This window comes from Homo sapiens, chromosome 1 (assembly GCF_000001405.40).
Source record: "Homo sapiens chromosome 1, GRCh38.p14 Primary Assembly".
In the NCBI taxonomy this organism is placed as follows: Eukaryota; Metazoa; Chordata; class Mammalia; order Primates; family Hominidae; genus Homo; species Homo sapiens.
Genome location: NC_000001.11, coordinates 114,696,597 through 114,722,620, shown reverse-complemented (window position 1 = coordinate 114,722,620; position 26,024 = coordinate 114,696,597). Strand labels below are relative to the sequence as shown.

Here is a 26,024-nt window from a genome sequence, read left to right as displayed (position 1 = left end):
TTTTATTTAGGCATCTCTAAGCCTGGTGGGATATAGTCCAAAGCAAGGGTTTTGTTTAGGCATCTCTAAGCCCGGGACTAGACAGATTACATTTTCCCACTTGGTAAGAACTAGCTCTTTTATTCAGGAACACAACTGTAACTTATACTAAGACTTTGAAGTTGGGCAGACCTAGATCTGGACACCGTTCTAGCATATAATCTTGGACAAATAACTTAAATCTTTGCTAGCTCAGTTTCTTCATCTTTAAAATGGTAATACCTTCAGCCTTAGATGGTTCTATAAAGTATGAATCAGTATGTGCATCATAAATGGTAATTATTGATATTGCATGAGGTCAGACCAGCTTCCTCTAATCACTCTTCCCATGACTTGATCTCTTTGGATTATCTCCTCAAAGTTTTTTGGTTCCTGTATTTAAAATTAAAAGTCAGCTGGGGTCGAGAGTAGGGGCTCACACCTGTAATCCCAGCACTTTGGGAAGCCAAGGCAGGCAGATCACCTGAAGGTCAGGAGTTCGAGACCAGCCTGGCCAACATGGCGAAACCCTGTCTCTCCTAAAAATACAAAAATTAGCCAGGTATCATGGTGGGTGCCTATAATCCCAGCTACTTCAGAGGCTGAGGCAGGAGAATCACTTGAACCTGGGAGGCGGAAGTTGCAGTGAGCTGAATCATGCCACTGAACTCCAGCCTGGTTAACAGAGCATGACTCCGTCTCAAAAAAAAAAAAAAAAGTCAGGTGTGGTGGCTCACACCTGTAAACCCAACACTTCGGGAGGCCAAGGTGGGCAGATCACTTGAGCCCAGGAGTTTGAGACCAGCCTGGGCAACATGGCAAAACCCTGTCTCTACAAAAAATGCAAAAATTAGCCAGTCATGGTGTGTGCCTGTAGTCCCAGCGACTCAGGAGCTGAGGTGGGAGGATCACCCGAGCCCAGGAAATCAAGGCTGCAGTGAGCCGTTGATCGCCACTGCACTCCAGCCTGGGTAGCAGAGCGAGACCCTGTCTCAACAATAACAATGACAAAAATTCTTCACTTACCCTGTAATCATCAAGAGGATGGTTAGAAGCTTCTGCTTCCCACCTGTTTTTCTCATGTTTTCCACTATTGTTGACTGAGTACATTTGCCTGGATGCTGAAAATTGTTAGGCAGCTGAATTCTTTGGCATAGTTTTTATCTGTAGCCTGCACCGGGCTCCAGGCAACTTCATACTGTAGGGCAGGGCTCAGCATATATGGTGGCCTTTTCTTGTGATCACAGCCACAACCATTTGTTTACATATTGTTTTTCGTTGCTTTCTCACTACAACAGCAGAGTTGGTTAGACAGGATGACTTGCAAACCTAAAATAATACTCTCCGGCCCTTTAGGAAAATGGTTTTTGGTCTCTGATCTGGAAAAAGGAACCTATGTGAGGGAGCCAGAATTCGAACAAAAAAAAAGGAGGTGGGGTGTCAAATTTATCTAAATTGTTTTTGCCTGTGCCCGCCTAGTTGTTTACTGGCTCATTGAGTATGGGACAAAAGTATTTTTGGTTGGCTCATATTGTGAACTTGGGAAGAAGATAGTCCTGTGAATATTGGCAACCCATAGTGCTTAAAATTTAGGCAATGGGATTGTAAATGACAGTATTTTTTGTTTTAATTTATAAATGCAGTTTAAAATTGTTCATCAGCTAATAAAGTACTGATGGGAGCTGTGACATTCTCATTTGGTTCCATGGTAGTATTTAACATTTAGGATTTCATTTAAGCTTTAAGGTGAAACTTCTGAGTACTGAAAATGTAAATATATTTTAAGTAACATAACACATTTTTAGCAGTTATATAAACTTCCTAGGGTCATCAGCAGAGGACTGTTGTGAAATACTAGCTTTTAGACTTTGTACCTGTTTTACAGGCGATATGAAAGGTGAGGTCTATCCATTTGGCATCGTTGGGATGGCCAACAAAGGGGATTGCCTGCAGAAAGGGGAGAGCGTCAAGTTCCAATTGTGTGTCCTGGGCCAAAATGCACAAACTATGGCTTACAACATCACACCCCTGCGCAGGGCCACAGTGGAATGTGTGAAAGATCAGGTAAGTGCCAGCATCTCTGTATCTGAATTTGATCCTTCTATGAGTTGGTAACCAAAACCTTCAAATATTTTCAGCCAAGGGGAAATCATCAACATTCATTCGTTTTTTTATTTCTACTTCACCTTTTTTCAGTCATTTGAGGTAGCTTAATAAAAACAGAAAACTACACAAAAAGTGACTATATTAGCAATGAGAAAGTAAGATTGGTATTAGTAACTAATATTATGCAATGGGGAAAATAAGTTAGGGGTGAGATTTCCAGAATAGAAGGACTATATGGTTTTGTACACTTTTGCTTAGAGCTTCTTTTGCATATCACACAAACACAGAAACCACGTTCAAAAGTACTTAAAAAATAAGCTTAGGGCAAACAAACTTAGTCTTACTCCTGAGATCTCAGGGAAATCTGAGTCCTCAGAATGTTTTTCATCAGTACAGAGAATAATAACATTTTGTATGGCTGCTACTATAACCCAGCTTAATTCTAGAGGGGATCCAAACAATATATATGTTGAAGTAACAGCTTCCTGATGAGTTTGCTTAATTCAAAAAGCTTAGTTCATAATATACGAAGGAACAAGGCAAGTTTTATTTGTTTGGTTCAAGTTTGTGATATAGTGAATGGCACTTTCAGAGATACATTTCTTCCCTGACAGGTTTTGCCACAGGCAGCTGGACTGGAGTATCAACATTAATACCATGTTTTATACATCCTTTTAGATAGGGGCAGGCATTGTGCTTCATTCAGAGTGAGGTGTGGCATGCCCTCTCTTTTTTACCTACTTTTTTTTTTCAGTTTGGCTTCATTAACTATGAAGTAGGAGATAGCAAGAAGCTCTTTTTCCATGTGAAAGAAGTTCAGGATGGCATTGAGCTACAGGCAGGAGATGAGGTGGAGTTCTCAGTGATTCTTAATCAGCGCACTGGCAAGTGCAGCGCCTGTAATGTTTGGCGAGTCTGGTGAGTTTTGTTGTTGTGGTTTGATTAGTAACTACCCTGGAGTGTCTCAACTTTATAGTCTCTGTTTTGTCACATCACTTTTCTGTGCCTTGTCTTCTGCCACTTATTATTTCTTGATACTTCCTACTTCTAGTTGAATACAAAAAGATTGTTTAGTACATGTTTTTTAAAATTTTTGCCAAATTCTTCTTCTTCCATTAAGTCATTTCTAGGTTATATGCTACTTAAAATTCTAATAGTTTAGCCATGCTGATTCATAATGCCGCTTTGCTTCCCCAGAGACAGTCTCACAGTCTGATTCGGTTACCCAGGCGCTATCACGACTCACTGCAGACTCAACCCCCTGGGCCTAAGCAATTCTCCCACGTCAGCTTCCCCAGTAGCTGGGACTACAAGCATGCGCCACCACATGCAGCCAATTTTATTTTTTGTAGAGACATGGTCCCACTGTTTTGCCCAGGCTGATCTCGAACTTCTGGGCTCAAGTGTTCCTCCTGCCCTGTCCTCTCAAAGCGCTGGGATTACAGGTGTTAGCTACCACATCTGCTACCTTGTTTTTTTATGCATCTGTGGAACTGGTCACTCTTGATTGCATTCAAGTCTAGGGTCTGCAAATGATTCCTTCCATTCCTATTAAGTTGGGACCTTGAGTTGGGGATAATAATACATAAACAAACTTGTCTGTCCTGTCTTTCTAGCTAGGTATATGAGGCAAGAGTCCCATCATAAAAAGTGAGTCATTTGGGCAGTTAGGTGGAAAACACACTCCTTTGCAAGTGCTTGCTGTCTGCCCACCAAGTGTGGTTTCTTCTCATCTTTTGACTTAATTACAGTGAGGGCCCCAAGGCTGTTGCAGCTCCTCGACCTGATCGGTTGGTCAATCGCTTGAAGAATATCACTCTGGATGATGCCAGTGCTCCTCGCCTAATGGTTCTTCGTCAGCCAAGGGGACCAGATAACTCAATGGTATGAGGGCATACAAGGCTTGGGGGAGGCCAACTGATAGACCAACATAAAATATGTGGTCCTATTTAAACAATAGGTCAGGAAACTTAATGAAGCAGGGAGACTTCCATATTGCTTATAACTAGTTAGGACTTTCTACACATTGGTTCAGCCCCCTAACCTAATGGTTGCTTACAGTAAGAAGCACATTTCTTTTCTTGATGCTTTGAAGACAGTTTAGGTAATGAATGGGTCAGGAGTGCTTACTGTGGATTTTCTCCTCTAGGAAAGAATTAGTACTGCATAAGATGATTAAAAATAATGCTTTTGTAGTTTCATTTCGGAATAGTGAATGTACTATGATTGTTGTGCGCTCAAATCATTAACTGCAGGGTTTTTTTTTTCTCCCCCCCACAGGGGTTTGGTGCAGAAAGAAAGATCCGTCAAGCTGGTGTCATTGACTAACCACATCCACAAAGCACACCATTAATCCACTATGATCAAGTTGGGGGGAATCTGGTGAAGGGTTCTGAATATCTCCCTCTTCATCCCTCCCGAAATCTGGAATACTTATTCTATTGAGCTATTACACCAGTTTTAACACCTTCCTCGTGTTATGTTTAAAAAAATAAATAAATTTAAGAAAACCATTTTAAATAATGCACAGTTGCAGCCTGGAAAAACTTAAGGTGGCGCCTTATAGTATCAATTTTAGGAGCTTTATTTGGTGCATTTAACGCAACTGGTAATTGCAGAATCCACTTTGCCTGTGTAAGTGAAAAATATAGACTGTTATCTTGTTGGCCCTATGAAATTCTGCACTTTTCATTATATACTCTACCTTCATTAATTACTTCTGGCAAGATGTTCTGCCTTAGCACTCAGTTGCATTCTTTTCCTTTTTCTTCCTGTTCATTATGCTTTAATTCTGAGGACCATATGAGGGTAGAATATATTATCTTTTAAAAATTACAAAAATTTGTATAGGCAAACCATTTCTTAAAGTTGATGGCCAAATTTTAAAATGTTATTTTTCATATCATTTATAATCTTGTCACAATCCACTTAAAGAAGTTTGGTTATATTTCAGTGAAAATTTTCTTCCAGAGTAGGTTTTTTTTCGTGGGTTGGGGGGTAACTTTACTACAATTAGTAAGTATGGTGCAGAATTTCATGCAAATGAGGAGTGCCAGCAGTGTGATAATTTAAACATATTTAAACAAAAACAAAAAAAATGAATGCACAAACTTGCTGCTGCTTAGATCACTGCAGCTTCTAGGACCCGGTTTCTTTTACTGATTTAAAAACAAAACAAAAAAAAATAAAAAAGTTGTGCCTGAAATGAATCTTGTTTTTTTTTATAAGTAGCCGCCTGGTTACTGTGTCCTGTAAAATACAGACACTTGACCCTTGGTGTAGCTTCTGTTCAACTTTATATCACGGGAATGGATGGGTCTGATTTCTTGGCCCTCTTCTTGAATTGGCCATATACAGGGTCCCTGGCCAGTGGACTGAAGGCTTTGTCTAAGATGACAAGGGTCAGCTCAGGGGATGTGGGGGAGGGCGGTTTTATCTTCCCCCTTGTCGTTTGAGGTTTTGATCTCTGGGTAAAGAGGCCGTTTATCTTTGTAAACACGAAACATTTTTGCTTTCTCCAGTTTTCTGTTAATGGCGAAAGAATGGAAGCGAATAAAGTTTTACTGATTTTTGAGACACTAGCACCTAGCGCTTTCATTATTGAAACGTCCCGTGTGGGAGGGGCGGGTCTGGGTGCGGCCTGCCGCATGACTCGTGGTTCGGAGGCCCACGTGGCCGGGGCGGGGACTCAGGCGCCTGGGGCGCCGACTGATTACGTAGCGGGCGGGGCCGGAAGTGCCGCTCCTTGGTGGGGGCTGTTCATGGCGGTTCCGGGGTCTCCAACATTTTTCCCGGCTGTGGTCCTAAATCTGTCCAAAGCAGAGGCAGTGGAGCTTGAGGTAAGTTTATCTCATGCATAGTGTTCGGCTTTGGGCTGTGGAATGTTCAGGCGTTTCACTGATGCCAGAAATGGAGCAGAATCTATCAGCTGGAGACAAAGGCCTTGGGCGGGGGTCCTTCCATTTGGTGCCTACGTGGGGAGATCTTTGGAGACAGAAGGGAGAATGGGAAGGAGTTGCGGCCTGGAGGCTTCCTGCTAGAGCTGAGAAGCCTTCGGGGAGTAATAGGAAGGGGGATTTCCATTGCTTAGGCTGAGGGCGGGGCCCAAGGACTGTTGAAAAATAGCTAAGGATGGGGGTTGCTAGAAAACTACTCCAGAAGTGTGAGGCCGATATTAATCCGGTGTTTTTGCGTTCTCTAGTCACTTTAAGAACCAAATGGAAGGTCACACTAGGGTTTTCATTTCCATTGATTATAGAAAGCTTTAAAGTACTGTAGATGTGGCTCGCCAATTAACCCTGATTACTGGTTTCCAACAGGTTCTTGCTGGTGTGAAATGACTGAGTACAAACTGGTGGTGGTTGGAGCAGGTGGTGTTGGGAAAAGCGCACTGACAATCCAGCTAATCCAGAACCACTTTGTAGATGAATATGATCCCACCATAGAGGTGAGGCCCAGTGGTAGCCCGCTGACCTGATCCTGTCTCTCACTTGTCGGATCATCTTTACCCATATTCTGTATTAAAGGAATAAGAGGAGAGAAAGTAAAAAGTTATTTTGGGTATACATTCAGTTATGCAATAAGCTTAACGTGTTTATAGAGAACAGTTCATTTTTATTAGCTGCTGAAGTTTCTAAAACCTGTCCAGTTTTTAACAGTTCTGTAAACTATTGCAAACTCAGTGTTGAGTTCATTCATGAGTTTCTTCATATATAACAGCTCTATTACATGAGAAACACAGGCCATAGTAGCGAGACTGTCTGATTGTATGGGAGATAATAGGATGGAGATAAAGGATTCAGAGATGAGTGTTCTTCAATATTTATTTATTAGCTAGTTGAAGCAGCTGAGACCAGATGATTGGAGTAGCAAGAACTTGAGATTTTTAGTCTTTATGCCTAGGATTTTGGTCCCTGTTTGCAGTTTATTTAGTTGTGTGATATTGAGCAACTGAATCTCTCCCAACCTCATTTTCCTCATGTTTTAAATTACCATAAACTTGTCCTGCCTACCACACAGGGATGTTATGGAAAGTTAAATAATATATTTAAGTTATTTATGAATGGTAAAGCACTATGTAATAGTACTTAGGGATTCTATTGTTATTATGAGAGTTCATGGTACAGATTGTCTTCAGTAAGTGGCACCTAAGGCTCTTTAAATAAAGGGTTTTGCCGGACACGGTGGCTCACGCCTGTAATCCCAGCACTTTGGGAGGCTGAGGCAGGCGGATCACAAGGTCAGGAGTTCAAGACCAGCCTGATCAACATGGTGAAACCCCGTCTCTACTAAAAATACAAAAATTAGCTGGGTGTGGTGGCAGGCACCTGTAATCCCAGCTACTCAGGAGGCTGAGGCAGGAGAATCGCTTGAACCAGAGGCAGAGGGTGCAGTGAGCCGAGATCACACCACAGACCTCCAGCCTGGGCAACAGAGCGAGACTTCGTCTCAAAAAATAAATAAATAGATAAATAAATAAAGGGTTTTGTAATTTTGTTCAGTTTAGAAATGCCTAACTTTAGAGATTATTTTAATCAACACCTGGCCTCCCTACCATCTGGCTACTCGTGTTTAATTGATGAAAACTAACTCTAATGTAGCCACTATAAAAAATTGGTTGCTAACCCTTGGCAAAATCTTTATTTTGAGCTTAACAGCTTTAATATTTTACATGAAATGTTTAATATTTTAATTAAATATTTTTAAATGTTTGATTTATTGAGCAATTTACATAAGTAAAATACATAAATTTTATGTCTACAGCCCAGTGCTTTTTGCGTTTCTATATAGTCATGTAGCTACCACCCAGATAACAGTATAGAGCACTTCCAGTACTCCAGAGAGTTCTCCAAGTGTGATGACATTAAAATACAAGTAAAAGTCCTGTTGCCATAAAACCAAAATGAAAGTATTTTTTATATGATCTATGCATGTTTGTCTTCCTGAGAAATTAAACATAACTATACCTTGTTTGGAACCTTTAAGAATTTGATTCAGGAATATTTCCCAAAGGTACATCTGTCATGATAAAAAAAAAACCTTCTCTGAAACAAAGGTATTTGTATATTTAGTCATAAACACAAATGATGTATATAGGGCCAGGTTATAATTGGTGGAGGTATGTTTAGATTTCTTTAAGTAAAATAAACAGCACAAATAAAACAGTCCAGTTCATAGCTTAGTGAAATACACTGGGTACTTAATCTGTAGCCTCCTGGCTGCAGTAGAGTTGTCATTTGAGTTACTGTGTTTTCTTAATCTTTTCCAGGAACACAGTGACCATATTTCTTTTCTGCAGGCATATAGAATTTGGTGGGTTTTCTTTTATGTAGGGTGATATTGGATACTTTTTGTTTGTGATTATATATTAGCAATTTGAGGGACAAACCAGATAGGCAGAAATGGGCTTGAATAGTTAGATGCTTATTTAACCTTGGCAATAGCATTGCATTCCCTGTGGTTTTTAATAAAAATTGAACTTCCCTCCCTCCCTGCCCCCTTACCCTCCACACCCCCAGGATTCTTACAGAAAACAAGTGGTTATAGATGGTGAAACCTGTTTGTTGGACATACTGGATACAGCTGGACAAGAAGAGTACAGTGCCATGAGAGACCAATACATGAGGACAGGCGAAGGCTTCCTCTGTGTATTTGCCATCAATAATAGCAAGTCATTTGCGGATATTAACCTCTACAGGTACTAGGAGCATTATTTTCTCTGAAAGGATGATCTTTGTGTTCTGAATCTTTATGGGGAAATGAGGTTACCACACTAGGGAAGATAGAGCTTTTTAATTATGGGAAGAGTTGGTTTTAGGTTGTTTGACATTGAGAATCTAGGGTAATTACTGAAAGTTAATACTGGAATTTATTTTACATAATATACTGTTACTATAAAGTTTGATAATACATAAGTGAAGCTTGCTACTGGGAATGACTTGGAACCAGAGTTGTTGTAATTAGAGATCACGAAGGAATTTCAGAGAGGAAAACATCTCCAAGAAACATCTTTCAGTATGTAATGGAAAAGATAGGCCAGGCACAGTGGCTCACACCTGGAATGTCAGTGCTTTGGGAGGCCAAGGCGGGAGGATCACTTTCAGCCCAGGAGTTGGAGACCAGCCTGGGCAACAGAGCAAGACCCTGTCTCTACAAAAATAAAAATAAAAAAATTAGTCACACATGGTGGCAGCTACTCGGGAGGCAGAGGTGGGAGGATCACGTGAGCTCAGGAGGTCGAGGCATGCTCACTCCACTGCACTGCTGCACTCCAGCCTAATCAACAGAGCAAGATTCTGTCTCCAAAAAAAATAAAAAATAAAATGATAGGAGTAAGCAAATAGGAAGTCCATAAAGATGAAAACAAAGCAAGGGAACATAAAGATAGACTTTGTCCATAGAACCATAAAGTTTCAAAGCTAGATTGGACCATAAAAATTCTAGTACAATATTCTTATTTTGCAGAATCAGAAACAGAGTTCAGAATGTCGTTTGTTAGGTTTTGGAGTCAGGATTGTTATTAGTAGCAGAGCCAGGACCAAAAACCCAAAGCTCCTTTTTCTTAGCACAGTGTTCTTAAACAGAATAATATAATGGTTAAGAATGAGAACTCTGCCTGGATTGAAACCTAGCTCTGTTTATTAGCGACGTGACTCAGGGGCTATGTGGCTTTCCTAACCTATAATATGGAAATAATAATACCTACCTCATAGAGTTGTGAAGATTACAGTTTTAATAAATACGCAAATCACTCAGAATAGTGCCTGGCACACAGTAAATGCTACTTAAGTGTTCTGCCTAAAGGCTTGAGTCTTGGCTTATTTTCTATCCATGTGAAGATGTCTGCTCTCAAAAGCAGATTGGTCCAACACTGAATTCAAGTGTTCTTTTCCTAACCTGTTGTACTTCCCATTTTTTTTTTGTCTAAAAGTAATAGCAGTACTTAATAAAATGCCCACACTTGGCATGCATCTAATAAATGTTTTTTGAATTTCTAGAAGTCATTTTTCTTCTTTCTTACAAGAAATTTATTCATTTTTCTATATGCCTTAGCTCAAACCAAAGAGTATTTAAAACATCTTATGAAAATGCATATAGTAGAGCAAGATAAGATTAATGAAAAATAGGCTTAAGTGAGACCAAAAAAATAAGGGTAAAATAAACAAATTTAGGAGTGAGCATATTCTGTGATTGTGCATGAAGTTCCAGTGGCTTTCTAAAGGTGGACTACAAATTTGGTCACTGTTGTGAAAAGGAAAGTAGCCAGCTGAAAGATTCAGTATCTGTATGCTGAAAGCCGTTAAGTTGCTCGGACTAGAAGGAAATTTTCCCATGGATCCTCAAAGAGGCTTGTTTAATGTAAAAATCAGTAGTAACCTGACAGTGACATGGTCCAGGTACTTTAGGCTGTCTTATCCCTTAATGTAGGCTATTACCATCAAGCACAGTTTTGCAAATAGCCAGTGGAATGTAGTTCAGATACATGACTTTGTGGGTAATCCAGGGGTAGAGACTAAAACAGTACTGTGCAGTATGTGGTTATTTACAGTTAATTAAGATTAAATAAAATTTAAAAATTAGTTCCTTGACTACCAAATGCTCAATAGCCACTAGTAGGTACCATGTTGAACAGTACAGATATAGACCATTTCCATCATCACATAAAGTACTGTTGGATTGTGTTGGTCAAGACAATCTAAAGCAATTGTTTCCCAGGTGTGCTGTGTGGTGTGCCTTACATGTCATTGAAAGGGGTGCTGTCAGGAGTTCTAGATGCTTCAGCCTCCCTTTACTAAGAGCAGTTCTTATGTTTTCTATTTTATCGCTTGGGCTTCCAGATACAATGTTTTGTTTTAGGTTTGTTTTTTTTGTTTGTTTGTTTTTTTTTTTTTGAGACGGAGTTTTGCTCTGGTTGCCCAAGCTGGATGGAGTACGGTGGTGCGATCGCGGCTCACTGCAACCTCCGCCTCCCGGGTTCGAGAGATTCTCCTGCCTCAGCTTCCCGAGTAGCTGGAATTACAGGCGTCCACCACCATGCCTGACTAATTTTTTTTGTATTTTTAGTAGACTTGGGGTTTCACCATGTTGGCCGGGCTGGTTTCAAACTCCTGACCTCAGGTGATCCACCCGCCTCGGCCTCCCAGAGGGCTGGGATTACAGGTGTGAACCACCGTGCCCGGCCTGTTTTAGTTTTTTAGAGATGGAGTCTCCCTCTGTTGCCCAAGCCAGAGTGCGGTGGCATGACACTCTCAGGGTTCAACCTCTCAGGGATCAAGGGATCCTCCCACCTCAGCTTCCTGAGTAGCTGGAACCACAGGCACATGTGCCACCATGCCCAGCTAATTTTTGTATTTTTTGTAGAAGCAAGGTTTCACCATGTTGCCCAGGCTGGTCTCGGACTCCTAGGTCAAGTGATCCTCCCACCTCAATCTCCTAGAGTGCTAAGACTATAGGCGGGAGTCACCATGCCCAGCTTCATCTACAATTTATTTGAAGAAAATGTTTGAGCACCACCCATCTTGAAAAGTGATAGACTGCCTTCCATTAAATACTGTCACACCTAGTTATTTAGCAGCAGTGAGCTTCACTTTTTATACTTTAGACCTTAATCTAAAGGGTGATTTCTAGTTGCCAGTTAAATCCAGAGCCAAGCTCTTTGGAGAATCCAGGAGCCTCACTAGGTCATGTATCAGGATAAAATACCCATCCACTCCCATTAGAAGGTGAGCTTGTACTTATGGCTTCCTGATGGCTGCTGCAACAAGTCTAAAGCAGTCTCCTTAGTATACAATGTCTTCTCTAAGTGGTAGAAAAAAGCAAAAATACTACAAGTTAATAGGGCTACATAAAATTTGCTAGTTTCTTTTTTGCCCTAGCCATTTATTCCTTCCTGAAATCTTGTCTCTCTCTCGCTCTCTCTTTCTCTCGCTCTCACTTTCTTTCTCTTTTTCTTTTCTCTTTTCTTTTCTTTCTTCCCTTTCTTTTCTTTCTTTTTTCCTGTTGCCCAGGCTGGAGTGCAGTGGAACAATTATGGCTCACTGCAGCCTTGACCTTTCTGGACCCAGGTGATCCTCCCACCTCAGTCTCCCAATTAGCTGGGACTACAGGCATGCGCCACCACACCCAGCTATAATATATATTGTATATATATTTTTTATTTATAAATATATATAAATATATATTTATATGTGTAAATTATATATATTTATATATTATAAATTATATATAAATATATATTTATATATAATATATATAATATATATTTATTTTTATATATTTTATATATATTTTTTGGGGGGGGTTGGGGGGGATGGAGTCTCACTCTGTCGCCCAGGCTAGAGTGTAGTGGCGTGATCTTGGCTCACTGCAATCTTCGCCTCCCAGGTTCAAGCGATTCTCCTGCCTCAGCTTCCCGAGTAGCTGGGACTATAGGCGCCTGCCACCACACCTGGCTAATTTTTGTATTTTTAGTAGAGATGGGGTTTCACCATATTGGCCAGGCTGGTCTTCAACTCCTGACCTTGTGATCTGCCCACCTCAACCTCCCAAAGTGCTGGGAATACAGGCATGAGCCACTGCACCCAGCCTAATCTTTGTATTTTTTTGTAGAGACCGGGTTTTGCCATGTTGCCCAGGCTAATCTCAAACTCCTGGGTTCAAGCAGTCTGCCCTCCTCAGCCTCCCAAAGTGCTGAGATTGCAGGCATGAGCCACTGTACCCAGCCTAATCTTGTTTTTCTTATGTTCTGATAATATATTCCCGTTTTTAGGGAGCAGATTAAGCGAGTAAAAGACTCGGATGATGTACCTATGGTGCTAGTGGGAAACAAGTGTGATTTGCCAACAAGGACAGTTGATACAAAACAAGCCCACGAACTGGCCAAGAGTTACGGGATTCCATTCATTGAAACCTCAGCCAAGACCAGACAGGTATGGTACAGCTTTCAGCATTTGTGCAAGAGTTTGCATCAGTTGATTAACTCTGGTAGAGATGTGATCCATATTCATATTCTTTGTTGTTATGCATTTTTTTCATTTTTATTTTTTTATTTTTTATTTTTTTTTAGGCAGAGTCTCACTCTATCTTCTAAGCTGGAGTGCAGTGGTGTGATCTCAGCTCACTGCAGCCTCTGTCTCTTGGGTTCAAGTGATTCTCCTGCCTCAGCCTCCCAAGTAGCTGGGACTACGGGCACATCATCATGCCCGGCTAATTTTTGTACTTTTAGTAGAGACAGGGTTTTACCATGTTGCCCAGGCTGGTCTCGAACTCCTGGCCTCAAGCAATCCTCCCACCTGGGCCTCCCAGAGTGCTGGGATTACAGGTGTGAGCCACCACGCCCAGCCTGTTGTTAGGCATTTTTAGTAGTGTTCTTTTTCTTAACGCTTGTTTAAACCCAAAATGAACTTACTAATATTCTGTTATGGCATGTTTACTCCTGCATTAACATCCACAAATATTTCTTGGGAAGATCCTTGACTAAAAATATTTATAAACATTAGTTATTTCTCTGTCAACACCAGCCCGTTTATGGCTTAAGCCTCCTGAATGGAGTCTTTAGTTTAATGTAGTTTTGTTCCGTGTTTCTCACATTACCCTTTTCCTTTGCATGAATGTTTATTTGGCAAAATGTGCCATTTTTATATCAGCCTGTTCTTGTGATTCAATAGGAATGTGAAATTTAGTGTTCTCTTCCTTAAATCACCATATTTTATTTTATCAGCTATTCGTTTAGTAATTGGAATCTTATGTCCACATAAAGAGATACAAATGCAAGAGAGCTTATAATTTGGATTGTGTCCGTTGAGCTAGCTCTCTCATTTTTTTTCATTTTTTCCTTTTATAGGGTGTTGAAGATGCTTTTTACACACTGGTAAGAGAAATACGCCAGTACCGAATGAAAAAACTCAACAGCAGTGATGATGGGACTCAGGGTTGTATGGGATTGCCATGTGTGGTGATGTAACAAGGTGAGCATATGGTTTCTTGGCATAATTACAAATCTTAGTATATAGTATTGGGCAATTTGGAGGAGTGCTGGTGTTATTGTCTATATGTTTTTTGAGTTTCTGCCTATCCTCTTCTGCACATTTTCCATATGACACCCTTTCTGAAAGTACTGAGGTCTAAAGTGTTTAAAACATTTGATTATTCCACAGGTATCTTTATATTTTTGGTAACATTAGAAATTATAAGACATTATTTATGAAATGTAGGCATACCCTATTCCTGGCAATGACCAGGAATTTGAAGGATCACTACTTTGAAACTAGTTAATAAGGACATGGTTTCTGTTCTTTTTTTACAGATACTTTTAAAGTTTTGTCAGAAAAGAGCCACTTTCAAGGTAGGACAAGTTTGGAAATGTATTCTCATTCCTGTTAATTTTGTATATTTGTTTTTCTTATACTCTGAATGTGTCACTTATACAAATTCTGTTTCTATTTCAGCTGCACTGACACCCTGGTCCTGACTTCCCTGGAGGAGAAGTATTCCTGTTGCTGTCTTCAGTCTCACAGAGAAGCTCCTGCTACTTCCCCAGCTCTCAGTAGTTTAGTACAATAATCTCTATTTGAGAAGTTCTCAGAATAACTACCTCCTCACTTGGCTGTCTGACCAGAGAATGCACCTCTTGTTACTCCCTGTTATTTTTCTGCCCTGGGTTCTTCCACAGCACAAACACACCTCTGCCACCCCAGGTTTTTCATCTGAAAAGCAGTTCATGTCTGAAACAGAGAACCAAACCGCAAACGTGAAATTCTATTGAAAACAGTGTCTTGAGCTCTAAAGTAGCAACTGCTGGTGATTTTTTTTTTCTTTTTACTGTTGAACTTAGAACTATGCTAATTTTTGGAGAAATGTCATAAATTACTGTTTTGCCAAGAATATAGTTATTATTGCTGTTTGGTTTGTTTATAATGTTATCGGCTCTATTCTCTAAACTGGCATCTGCTCTAGATTCATAAATACAAAAATGAATACTGAATTTTGAGTCTATCCTAGTCTTCACAACTTTGACGTAATTAAATCCAACTTTCACAGTGAAGTGCCTTTTTCCTAGAAGTGGTTTGTAGACTTCCTTTATAATATTTCAGTGGAATAGATGTCTCAAAAATCCTTATGCATGAAATGAATGTCTGAGATACGTCTGTGACTTATCTACCATTGAAGGAAAGCTATATCTATTTGAGAGCAGATGCCATTTTGTACATGTATGAAATTGGTTTTCCAGAGGCCTGTTTTGGGGCTTTCCCAGGAGAAAGATGAAACTGAAAGCACATGAATAATTTCACTTAATAATTTTTACCTAATCTCCACTTTTTTCATAGGTTACTACCTATACAATGTATGTAATTTGTTTCCCCTAGCTTACTGATAAACCTAATATTCAATGAACTTCCATTTGTATTCAAATTTGTGTCATACCAGAAAGCTCTACATTTGCAGATGTTCAAATATTGTAAAACTTTGGTGCATTGTTATTTAATAGCTGTGATCAGTGATTTTCAAACCTCAAATATAGTATATTAACAAATTACATTTTCACTGTATATCATGGTATCTTAATGATGTATATAATTGCCTTCAATCCCCTTCTCACCCCACCCTCTACAGCTTCCCCCACAGCAATAGGGGCTTGATTATTTCAGTTGAGTAAAGCATGGTGCTAATGGACCAGGGTCACAGTTTCAAAACTTGAACAATCCAGTTAGCATCACAGAGAAAGAAATTCTTCTGCATTTGCTCATTGCACCAGTAACTCCAGCTAGTAATTTTGCTAGGTAGCTGCAGTTAGCCCTGCAAGGAAAGAAGAGGTCAGTTAGCACAAACCCTTTACCATGACTGGAAAACTCAGTATCACGTATTTAAACATTTTTTTTTCTTTTAGCCATGTAGAAACTCTAAATTAAGCCAATATTCTCATTTGAGAATGAGGATGTCTCAGCTGAGAAACGTTTTAAATTCTCTTTATTCATAATGTTCTTTGAAGGGTTTAAAACAAGATGTTGATAAATCTAAGCTGATGAGTTTGCTCAAAACAGGAAGTTGAAATTGTTGAGACAGGAATGGAAAATATAATTAATTGATACCTATGAGGATTTGGAGGCTTGGCATTTTAATTTGCAGATAATACCCTGGTAATTCTCATGAAAAATAGACTTGGATAACTTTTGATAAAAGACTAATTCCAAAATGGCCACTTTGTTCCTGTCTTTAATATCTAAATACTTACTGAGGTCCTCCATCTTCTATATTATGAATTTTCATTTATTAAGCAAATGTCATATTACCTTGAAATTCAGAAGAGAAGAAACATATACTGTGTCCAGAGTATAATGAACCTGCAGAGTTGTGCTTCTTACTGCTAATTCTGGGAGCTTTCACAGTACTGTCATCATTTGTAAATGGAAATTCTGCTTTTCTGTTTCTGCTCCTTCTGGAGCAGTGCTACTCTGTAATTTTCCTGAGGCTTATCACCTCAGTCATTTCTTTTTTAAATGTCTGTGACTGGCAGTGATTCTTTTTCTTAAAAATCTATTAAATTTGATGTCAAATTAGGGAGAAAGATAGTTACTCATCTTGGGCTCTTGTGCCAATAGCCCTTGTATGTATGTACTTAGAGTTTTCCAAGTATGTTCTAAGCACAGAAGTTTCTAAATGGGGCCAAAATTCAGACTTGAGTATGTTCTTTGAATACCTTAAGAAGTTACAATTAGCCGGGCATGGTGGCCCGTGCCTGTAGTCCCAGCTACTTGAGAGGCTGAGGCAGGAGAATCACTTCAACCCAGGAGGTGGAGGTTACAGTGAGCAGAGATCGTGCCACTGCACTCCAGCCTGGGTGACAAGAGAGACTTGTCTCCAAAAAAAAAGTTACACCTAGGTGTGAATTTTGGCACAAAGGAGTGACAAACTTATAGTTAAAAGCTGAATAACTTCAGTGTGGTATAAAACGTGGTTTTTAGGCTATGTTTGTGATTGCTGAAAAGAATTCTAGTTTACCTCAAAATCCTTCTCTTTCCCCAAATTAAGTGCCTGGCCAGCTGTCATAAATTACATATTCCTTTTGGTTTTTTTAAAGGTTACATGTTCAAGAGTGAAAATAAGATGTTCTGTCTGAAGGCTACCATGCCGGATCTGTAAATGAACCTGTTAAATGCTGTATTTGCTCCAACGGCTTACTATAGAATGTTACTTAATACAATATCATACTTATTACAATTTTTACTATAGGAGTGTAATAGGTAAAATTAATCTCTATTTTAGTGGGCCCATGTTTAGTCTTTCACCATCCTTTAAACTGCTGTGAATTTTTTTGTCATGACTTGAAAGCAAGGATAGAGAAACACTTTAGAGATATGTGGGGTTTTTTTACCATTCCAGAGCTTGTGAGCATAATCATATTTGCTTTATATTTATAGTCATGAACTCCTAAGTTGGCAGCTACAACCAAGAACCAAAAAATGGTGCGTTCTGCTTCTTGTAATTCATCTCTGCTAATAAATTATAAGAAGCAAGGAAAATTAGGGAAAATATTTTATTTGGATGGTTTCTATAAACAAGGGACTATAATTCTTGTACATTATTTTTCATCTTTGCTGTTTCTTTGAGCAGTCTAATGTGCCACACAATTATCTAAGGTATTTGTTTTCTATAAGAATTGTTTTAAAAGTATTCTTGTTACCAGAGTAGTTGTATTATATTTCAAAACGTAAGATGATTTTTAAAAGCCTGAGTACTGACCTAAGATGGAATTGTATGAACTCTGCTCTGGAGGGAGGGGAGGATGTCCGTGGAAGTTGTAAGACTTTTATTTTTTTGTGCCATCAAATATAGGTAAAAATAATTGTGCAATTCTGCTGTTTAAACAGGAACTATTGGCCTCCTTGGCCCTAAATGGAAGGGCCGATATTTTAAGTTGATTATTTTATTGTAAATTAATCCAACCTAGTTCTTTTTAATTTGGTTGAATGTTTTTTCTTGTTAAATGATGTTTAAAAAATAAAAACTGGAAGTTCTTGGCTTAGTCATAATTCTTATATTCACTGAAGTGCCTTTATAGAATGCTAATATTAATTTCAAACTTTTGGATGTGACATTTGGAAGTGTTGGAATATCTGAGTTCCTCATTTCATCATAACATCAAATATATCAAAGCCTGCTTTAAAGTATTACCTTGGGGATGATTCATAGCTATTTGTCAGATTTGCATACATTAAGATGCCATTGGAGCTCTTTTGTCTCGTTTTTGCATTACTGCACAATCTAGCCATCTTGGTATAGGTGGAGGAGCATTGATGCTAGGGGCTGGAGAACTTGAGGCCCGATATAATTTTACTACGCCGGCCCAGTTTCTTCAATTGCAAAATAGAAGAGTTGAATTAGGATATATCAGATTTCCCAACCTTAAGGAGACTTTAAAAAGAATAATATCAAACCTAGGCATTTTCAACTAACACTGGAATACTAATTTTGGAGACCTTGGTTTACTCTACCAAAGACATCAAAATTTTTTTTCACTTTTTTTTCTTGAAAAGGAGGCAGGGAAGGTAGGTCATTAACATGTGGCTGAAGTAAGCTTGGGAAAACCAATTTTAAATGACAATATTTTTTCTAGCTAGGACAACTAGAAAGAGTAAATATTTTAATTATAAAATGTATTTGAAAAAGAAATAGAATTAGGGAATTTGTATCTTTCAAACTATCACCTCATATAGAGACCTAGGTGATAGTTTGAGAGAGAAACATACAAAGTCCACAGTTCTATTTCTTTTTCATATACATTTTACAAAAATTTGTTCTAATGTTTGACCCTCTAATAACGGAAAAGAGGAAAGGATGTTTTCTGGTGAGAACTGCTGTTCTGTTCAGCAAAATAAAGCTACAGAAACAAATAATGAGAAGGTACCTAAAGAAGCTTGTTTATTTGGAATATGAGGGAACCACCTGTGCATCTCTGTGCTATTAAGGTTTCTGTTCTCATAAGCAATATTTAAGGTCACTGAAAGGCCAACATAGTTGCATGAGTTATTTGATACCCATAAATACATGAGAAGAGGCCAAGAGGCCTTGCTAGTGATCATTTCGCAAAACTGTCTGAGGATGTCCAGCTCCATGAGAGCACAGAGAGAATCACTGTCCAGTTTCCAAGTGGGAAGGGTATGCTTTGTAATGCTTTTAAAAGTAACTGGGCAGTGAAATGTGACCCTTTACCTTAATAAAAGACAGCTGGAACTTCAGGAACATACAAAATAGAAATATTCTTTCCAGTTGCAAAAGGAACATAAGAGGGTTCAGATTCATGAACCAAGAGTTGAGTTGACCATTCTTATTTGCAGTTGAATTCTACCATATGATTTACTTCACACTTGCACCGAAATAGTCTATTATAAACTACTGGTGTTGGGGGTGGGGCGGGAGTGGGAATGGGGAATGAAGGGGAGGAATGAACTTAGTTTCTTAACTAGTATAAATTCAGATTACCATCAACTTGTAGAAGCCATATGAAGTAAAAATGGGTAGCACCTGCAACACTGGGACTTAGCGTGCTATTAAATGTTTCTAAAGATAGAGGCACGTAGCTACATGTCTCATAGGGGAGGATGTGGTTGTAGCTAGCAGTTGCCTACTAGCAGGCTTCTTTATTTGCAGCAGCCTGAAATACCCAGGTTAGGAAAAGCAATCTTCCAGAATGGATGCTGTGGACATGGTACAATTGGCGCTATTGATACTTTCTGTAGGAGCTTGAAATGTGTGGATTGTAGTTAAGTCTGAAAGAAAACTTGCACTTGATTTTAAAACATTTTCTTATAAATCAATTCACATTTATAACTGAGACCCAACATTCCTGATAGGAATATTTTTGTAAATCAATGGTATGAAGTGTAAAGACATGTTGAAAGTTAGAAGAAGAGATCTTTTAAGTGTATGCTTGTTTTGGCTGTGAAGCTGAGGGGTTTGACATTTACTATTAAAGTTCAAAATAAAACTAGCATGGCATATGAAGTAGAATTACCAAGGCCTGTGTTTCTCTAAGAGAACCATATTTGGATCCCCTGTGAGGCATAGCCATAAGCCCTAACAAAATGTTTTTGTTACACTGGTTTGGTACATTTTCCTTAAGACTTTCCTACCTAATTTATTTATGTATCTAGCCCCTGTGCTGCTCTGGGCATACAGCAGTGAATCTGACAGATACTGGTTCCTTATGAATCTTTTATATTCTACTGAGTCTCCCCAGAAACCTCTAAAACAAAATTTCTTAATTGCAATTTTGTGATTATTTCAAAGGTGAAGGACGGTGTTTACTCTGATATAGCTCGTTTAACCTCAGTGTTCTGGCTGCTGACCTCTGGACACTGTCCATAGTCACCTTCCCTGATTTTCCTGCAAGTCCTCTTGGCTATCCAAGATGCAGCATATACTGACTCACAACTCACTGCTACTTGGGCCTCTCCTTTTCAAGTCAAGGCTATGTAGAAACAGAAACCAATATTTTTATATTGCTTCAAAAATGTCAAAGTGCTTTTGCATATCTTATTTTATCCTTCACATCCATATCAAGTAGGAATCATCTCCATTTTACTGATGAGAAAACTGAATCCCCTAAAAATGTATTGATTTTATCTAAAATTCAAACCCAGGTCTCCCGATTTCCAGAATCTGCTTTTTTTGATTCACTAGTAGGTTTTTTTGTTTGTTTTGTTTTGGTTTTTGTTTTTGTTTTGAGACAGGGTCTGGCTCTGTCACCCGGGCTGGAGTGCAGTGGCTCCATCTCAGCTCACTGCAAACCTCCACCTCCCAGGCTCAAGCAATCCTCCCACCTCAGCTTCCTGGTAGCTGGGACTACAGGTGCACCACCATGCCTAGCTGATTTTTTGTAGAGAAGGGGTTTTGCCATGTTGCCCCTGCTGGTCTCGAACTCCTGAGCTCAAGCAATCTGCTTGCCTCAGCCTCCCAAAGTGCTGGGATTACAGGCATGAGCCACCATGCCCAGCCACTAGTAGTTTTTAAACCATGCTGTTCAAAGTCCTTGGAGTGTAAAGAAGACTTTGCAGAGAGGCTGAACGGCTGTGGTTCTGCTCCTCCTCCCTTGTCCCCCAACTTCAAGGAAGGAGGAGGAGGTAGGGTGAAGAGCAGGTTGGGAAAAAGTGGGAGTTCCCAACAAGTTTCACACCAGATTAATTCCACGTTCATCTCTTTCATTTTAGGCTTTCATTCAAGATTTAGTTTGAGGCTGGGCATGGTGGCTCACACTTGGAATCTAGCACTTTGAGAGGCCAAGGTGGGAGGATCGCTTGAGGCCAGGAATTCAAGACCAGCCTGGGCAACATAGCAAGACCCTGTCTCTACAATGTTTTAAAACTTAGCTACCCCCACACCTGTTGTAGTCCTAGCTATTCAGGAAACTGAGGCAGGAGGGTCACTTGATCCCAGGAGTTTGAGGCTGCAGTAAGCTATGATAGCACCACTGCATTCCAGCTTGGCCCACAGAGTGAGACCCTGTCTCTAGTGGGGGGAAAAAATCTTTAGTTTAAAAAAAAGATTTCATACGTAAAACTATGAAAACCACTTGACTTCACCAATCTACTTCTACAACCATCTATCAAACTGGGAATCACTAGATCACATCCTCATGTCTAGTCCAGATCCCAATATTCTATAGACACAATCATGTTCATTGCACTCTACATAATAGTGAGATGGTGTATAATACAGTGCTTAAGAGCCCCCACTCTGGAGCCAGAATACCTTGCCTTGAATGCCACTTCTACCACTTATTAGTTGTATGACCTTGAGCAAGTCAACCTCTCCACACCTGAAGTTTTTCAACTGTAACATGGAAGAAATAATAGTTCTTCAAAAGACTATTGTGAAAATTAAATAATATATATATAGTATGAATATATATATAGTATAAATAATATATAGTATAAACAACATCAACAAGAAACAATAACTTAGAACACTATCTAACACTGTTTTTATTGCAGGGACCCCATAGTATGCCTCCCTCCCTCTCTCCTCTAACAGAACATAGTACACTGCTGAAGTACAGCTTGTTTTGTTTAAAGCAAATTGCTGAATTTCATTTCCATTCCAGAGACAGGAAATAAAGTCAGTTTGTCTCACGGAAAAGGATGTGTCTCAAAAATTTGACTTCTTTATTTTTAGGCGTGTGTGGGAAATTATTACTGACAGGAAAATTAGACTGAATGCAGTAAAGTAGCATAAAATTCCTCATCATTCCACAGGTTTGGTTATGCTCCAAACCAAAACGCATTCCTTAAGTATAAAGGAATTGTTACACACCTCTAAGAGGATGACAAAACCTATAGTTGCTGCTGGCAACTATGTTCCAGTTCTATTCCTAAACTGGAAGTTGTAATGAACTCAGAACTGCTCCCACTGAAGCAATGTAACAAAAAAAAATGGAGCTGGCAGTTTACCGATGGTCACCCTCAGCCCCACAGAACTCTTGGGTATGCTGTCTTCTCAACCACAACTTACTGTGGGCATTGAGGCATTGAAGGATGTGGGGTGATGAACAGGTTGGAAAGAGGTGGGAGCCCCAGCAAGTTTCACAGCAAGGAGAGAGACCTGCTATAGCAGAATGGAGGTAAAGGCTTTCTGGACAACAAGGAGCCAGGCACAGTAATCTGTGTACAGTTAAGTCCTGTACAGCGTCATCTGCTTCCCGCAGAGCCTCAGGTATCTCCAACTCAATGAACTACAAGAAATCTCCTATTTAAAAAGTACCTTTGTAAATTTGATATTTGGATCTTAGAATGATTTCCACTAAAATAATGTTGTAAACAATGGTTAAGTCCCTAGGTTAGCTCCAACTGATGTGGTCCATGATATAGCTGAAATATTTGCACACCAATCATTTTAAAGGACATAAAAAACAGGTGGGGGGCTAGGGGAGGGATAACATTAGAACTACCTACTGTAGGTGACGGGTTGATGGGTGCAGCAAACCACCATAGCACATGTATACCTATGTAACAAAACTGCACGTTCTGCACATGTACCCCAGAACTTAAAGTACAATTTTAAAAAAAGACATAGAAAACAATATTTTTGCTAAAACTAAAACAAAAATAGAATTCAGTGAGGCTAGTTTATCTTATATGCTGGTGCCTGAAGAAAAGCATGCTTAATTAGAGAAAAAGAATGAGTAGATAGACTTTTCCCATTAGAGGGAATTTCTGGGCATTTTCCTTGAAGGCTGCGGATGATGATACAATTGAGATTTTTATTATTGTTTTCCTTTAAATTTAGAGTTTGTTTCCTGATGATAGAAATAATACTTGTTCATGGCAGAAAATGTACATAAGCCAAAAGAATGGGGTAAAAATCACCATCATCACACTACCCAGAAAGAGTAAGAGTGTAAACTACACAAGCTGCTTTCAATGCCTAGAGTGATATGTAAATTAATACTTTTCTTTTTTTACAAAGACAAGATTATACTATATATACATTGTTGTAATATTATTTTCACTAATAACATTTTGTGAATGTTTTTCATGTTAATATGTATTCATCTACATCATTATTTTATTGTGTGGCATTTTATTTTATGGTTATACCATGCTTTATTCAATCTTTTATTGTAGACGTGTGGGTTTTTCCTACCTTTTGACTATTATAAATGTTTAGCTACAATAAACATTCTTGAACTACATTTTTGATTACTTACATAAAAACTTTCTTAAGAAAGTCATAAAAATAAAGGCACGGTGGCTCATGCCTATAATCCTAGCACTTCGGGAAGCCGAGGTGGGCAGATCACTTGAGGTCAGGAGTTCGAGACAAGCCTGGCCAACATGGTGAAACCCTGTCTCTACTAAAAATACAAAAATTAGCCAGGCGTGGTGGCGTGCACCTGTAATTCCAGCTACTCAGGAGGCTGAGGCAGGAAAATCGCTTGAACCCAGGAGACAGAGGTTGCAGTGAGCCAAGATCACCCCACTGCACTCCAGACTGGGTGACAGAGCAGGACTCCATCTCAAAAAAAAAGAGTCACTGAATGTTTCCGAACTGAGAATATAATGATCAAGTGGTTTTTCAGAAGATTTAACCTGGTGGTATTATGCAATATGGATTGGAGGCAGGGGAAATAATTAGGAATCTATTACAATTATCCAACTTTGAGGTAACTCATGACTTATCAGGTAGAATTACATTGGCTTCTAATAATAAAAAAAACTGACTAATCAGTGACTAAAACAAATTTACTTTTCCCTTTTTTTTTTTTTTTTTTTTTGAGATGGAGTCTTGCTTTGTCACCAGGCTGGAGTGCAGTGGTGTGATCTCAGCTCATTGCAACCTCCACCTCCCGAGTTCAAGTGATTCTCCTGCCTCAGCCTCCCGAGTAGCTGGGACTACAAGCATGCACCACCACACCCAGCTAATTTTTGTATTTTTAGTAGAGACGGGGTTTCACCATGTTGGCCAGGATGATCTCGATCTCTTGACCTCGTGATCTGCCTGCCTCGGCCTCCCAAAGTGCTGGGATTACAGGCATGAGCCACTGCGCCCAACCATTTTTCTTATGTATCAAGAAGTCTTGCTGGGTATGGTGATGCATGTTTGTACTCCCAGCTACTCAGGAGGCTTGGGTAGGAGGATCACTTGAGTCCAGGAGTTCTGGGCTATAGCAATCTATGCTGATCAAGTGTCCACACTAATTTCAACATCAACAGGGTGACCCTCCAGGAGCGGGGGACCACCAAGTTGCCTAAGGAGTGAACTAGCCCAGGTCTGAAACAGAGCAGGTCAAAACTCCTGTGCTGATTTTAGTAGTAGGATCACTCCTGTCAATAACCACTACACCCTGGCCTGAGCAACATAGTGAGACCCTGTCTCTTAAAAAAATTCCTTAATTAAACAAGAATTCTAAATATGGGAAGTCCTGGACTAATATGGTGGCTTTAGGATGCCATCAGGGACCCTAATTATTTGTTTCTGTTCAGATAGTCTTCATGTGGCTCTTGTCCTGCTCACCATTTGTGTTAAAACAATGGTTGGTTTGGAGGCCCCTATCCACATATTTCCTTTTTCAGGCAGGAAGAAGAGGAAGGGCAAAAGGCAAAACATATGCCAGCTGAGCTGGTCCCTTTTAAAAGAACTTTTGGAGACATCCCACCCAGCAATTCTGCTTACATCACTTTGGCCAGGCTGTGTCAAATGGCCGCTTCTAGCCACAAAGGATTCTAGCAAATGCTGTTTTTTGGCTGAGCACATTAATGCTCAAACCAAAGAAGTTTTTGTTTGTAAGAAAGGTAGGGAAAATGATCTTTGGGTAGGCAACTAGGGTATTTACACAATTGGAATGAGAAAATTGGAGTGTAACTTATATAAAGATAGGAATTACTGAAGGAGAAGCAGGTTCATGGAGGAAGATGCTTGGTTTGGATGTATCAATTTGTGGATACTGTTGGGAAATCCAGGTAAAAATGTAACAAAAAGGAGTTGGAAAGAAATGAACAAATATTTTGGTTCAGTAACACCTTTGTAATGTGTTGCAATATTGTTGATTGAGAGGTTGGCCATAAGGCTAAGCACTAAAATATTGTTAAGTTTTGCCAACAAAAAGGCTTGTCCCAATTTTCAAAAAGAAATAGTTAATAGTAAAAAGATCATTTGGTCTATGCCCATAATTCTGTTGCTAATCTGAAGTGCCAAGCTCATCTTCAATATAAGCTGTTATAATTTAAAATTTCTGCTGAGTCTAGCAGCGTACTTTCTTTACCTAGCAGCAACTATCAAATATTTAGTCATAACTGGCCGGGCGCAGTGGCTCACGCCTGTAATCCCAGCACTTTGGGAGGCCAAGGCAGGTGGATCATGAGGTCAGGAGATCAAGACCATCCTGGCTAACACAGTGAAACCACATC

General features: G+C 39.5%; 2 protein-coding genes and 1 pseudogene across 7 annotated transcripts in view, besides 4 other annotated features; all 3 read left to right on the top strand.

Annotated features, from left to right (window-relative positions):
- The window catches only part of CSDE1 (cold shock domain containing E1), a 41,069-nt gene extending 35,364 nt beyond the window's left edge, over nt 1-5,705 (top strand). For all 6 annotated transcript variants that reach the window (NM_001242893.2, NM_001242892.2, NM_007158.6 and 3 more), the window contains 4 exons: nt 1,904-2,082; nt 2,879-3,042; nt 3,876-4,008; nt 4,405-5,705. In NM_001242893.2, the coding sequence (NP_001229822.1) occupies nt 1,904-2,082; nt 2,879-3,042; nt 3,876-4,008; nt 4,405-4,452 (524 nt within the window). In that variant the 3' untranslated portion in view covers nt 4,453-5,705. The remainder of the gene's footprint in view (nt 1-1,903; nt 2,083-2,878; nt 3,043-3,875; nt 4,009-4,404) is intronic.
- Nucleotides 5,845-6,044: an enhancer, noted in NCBI's record as "active region_1549". NCBI's record gives its function as "activates an Ori minimal core promoter by ATAC-STARR-seq in GM12878 lymphoblastoid cells {active_cell/tissue: GM12878}" and the evidence as "EXISTENCE:reporter gene assay evidence [ECO:0000049][PMID:35858748]".
- On the top strand, nt 5,850-18,152 carry NRAS (NRAS proto-oncogene, GTPase). Its single transcript, NM_002524.5, has 7 exons — nt 5,850-5,963; nt 6,444-6,571; nt 8,643-8,821; nt 12,893-13,052; nt 13,967-14,090; nt 14,429-14,467; nt 14,571-18,152. The coding sequence occupies exons 2-5, from the start codon at nt 6,461-6,463 to the stop codon at nt 14,084-14,086; spliced, it is 570 nt and encodes a 189-aa protein (NP_002515.1). The 5' UTR covers nt 5,850-5,963; nt 6,444-6,460; the 3' UTR covers nt 14,087-14,090; nt 14,429-14,467; nt 14,571-18,152.
- Nucleotides 6,055-6,154: an enhancer, noted in NCBI's record as "active region_1548". NCBI's record gives its function as "activates an Ori minimal core promoter by ATAC-STARR-seq in GM12878 lymphoblastoid cells {active_cell/tissue: GM12878}" and the evidence as "EXISTENCE:reporter gene assay evidence [ECO:0000049][PMID:35858748]".
- Nucleotides 19,587-19,787: a silencer, noted in NCBI's record as "peak381 fragment used in MPRA reporter construct". NCBI's record gives its function as "represses an SCP1 promoter by STARR-seq MPRAs in K562 erythroleukemia cells {active_cell/tissue: K562}" and the evidence as "EXISTENCE:reporter gene assay evidence [ECO:0000049][PMID:32103011]".
- Nucleotides 19,671-19,720: a silencer, noted in NCBI's record as "silent region_1222". NCBI's record gives its function as "represses an Ori minimal core promoter by ATAC-STARR-seq in GM12878 lymphoblastoid cells {active_cell/tissue: GM12878}" and the evidence as "EXISTENCE:reporter gene assay evidence [ECO:0000049][PMID:35858748]".
- RN7SL432P (RNA, 7SL, cytoplasmic 432, pseudogene) lies at nt 24,697-24,994 on the top strand (annotated as a pseudogene).

Excerpts from the sequence above, each read along its gene's own strand:
- NRAS (NM_002524.5), top strand. The coding sequence starts at position 6,461 with ATGACTGAGTACAAACTGGTGGTGGTTGGAGCAGGTGGTGTTGGGAAA. Across the intron at positions 6,572-8,642 it reads AATATGATCCCACCATAGAG|GATTCTTACAGAAAACAAGT; the intron begins GTGAGGCCCAGT and ends CCACACCCCCAG. Across the intron at positions 13,053-13,966 it reads CCTCAGCCAAGACCAGACAG|GGTGTTGAAGATGCTTTTTA; the intron begins GTATGGTACAGC and ends TTCCTTTTATAG.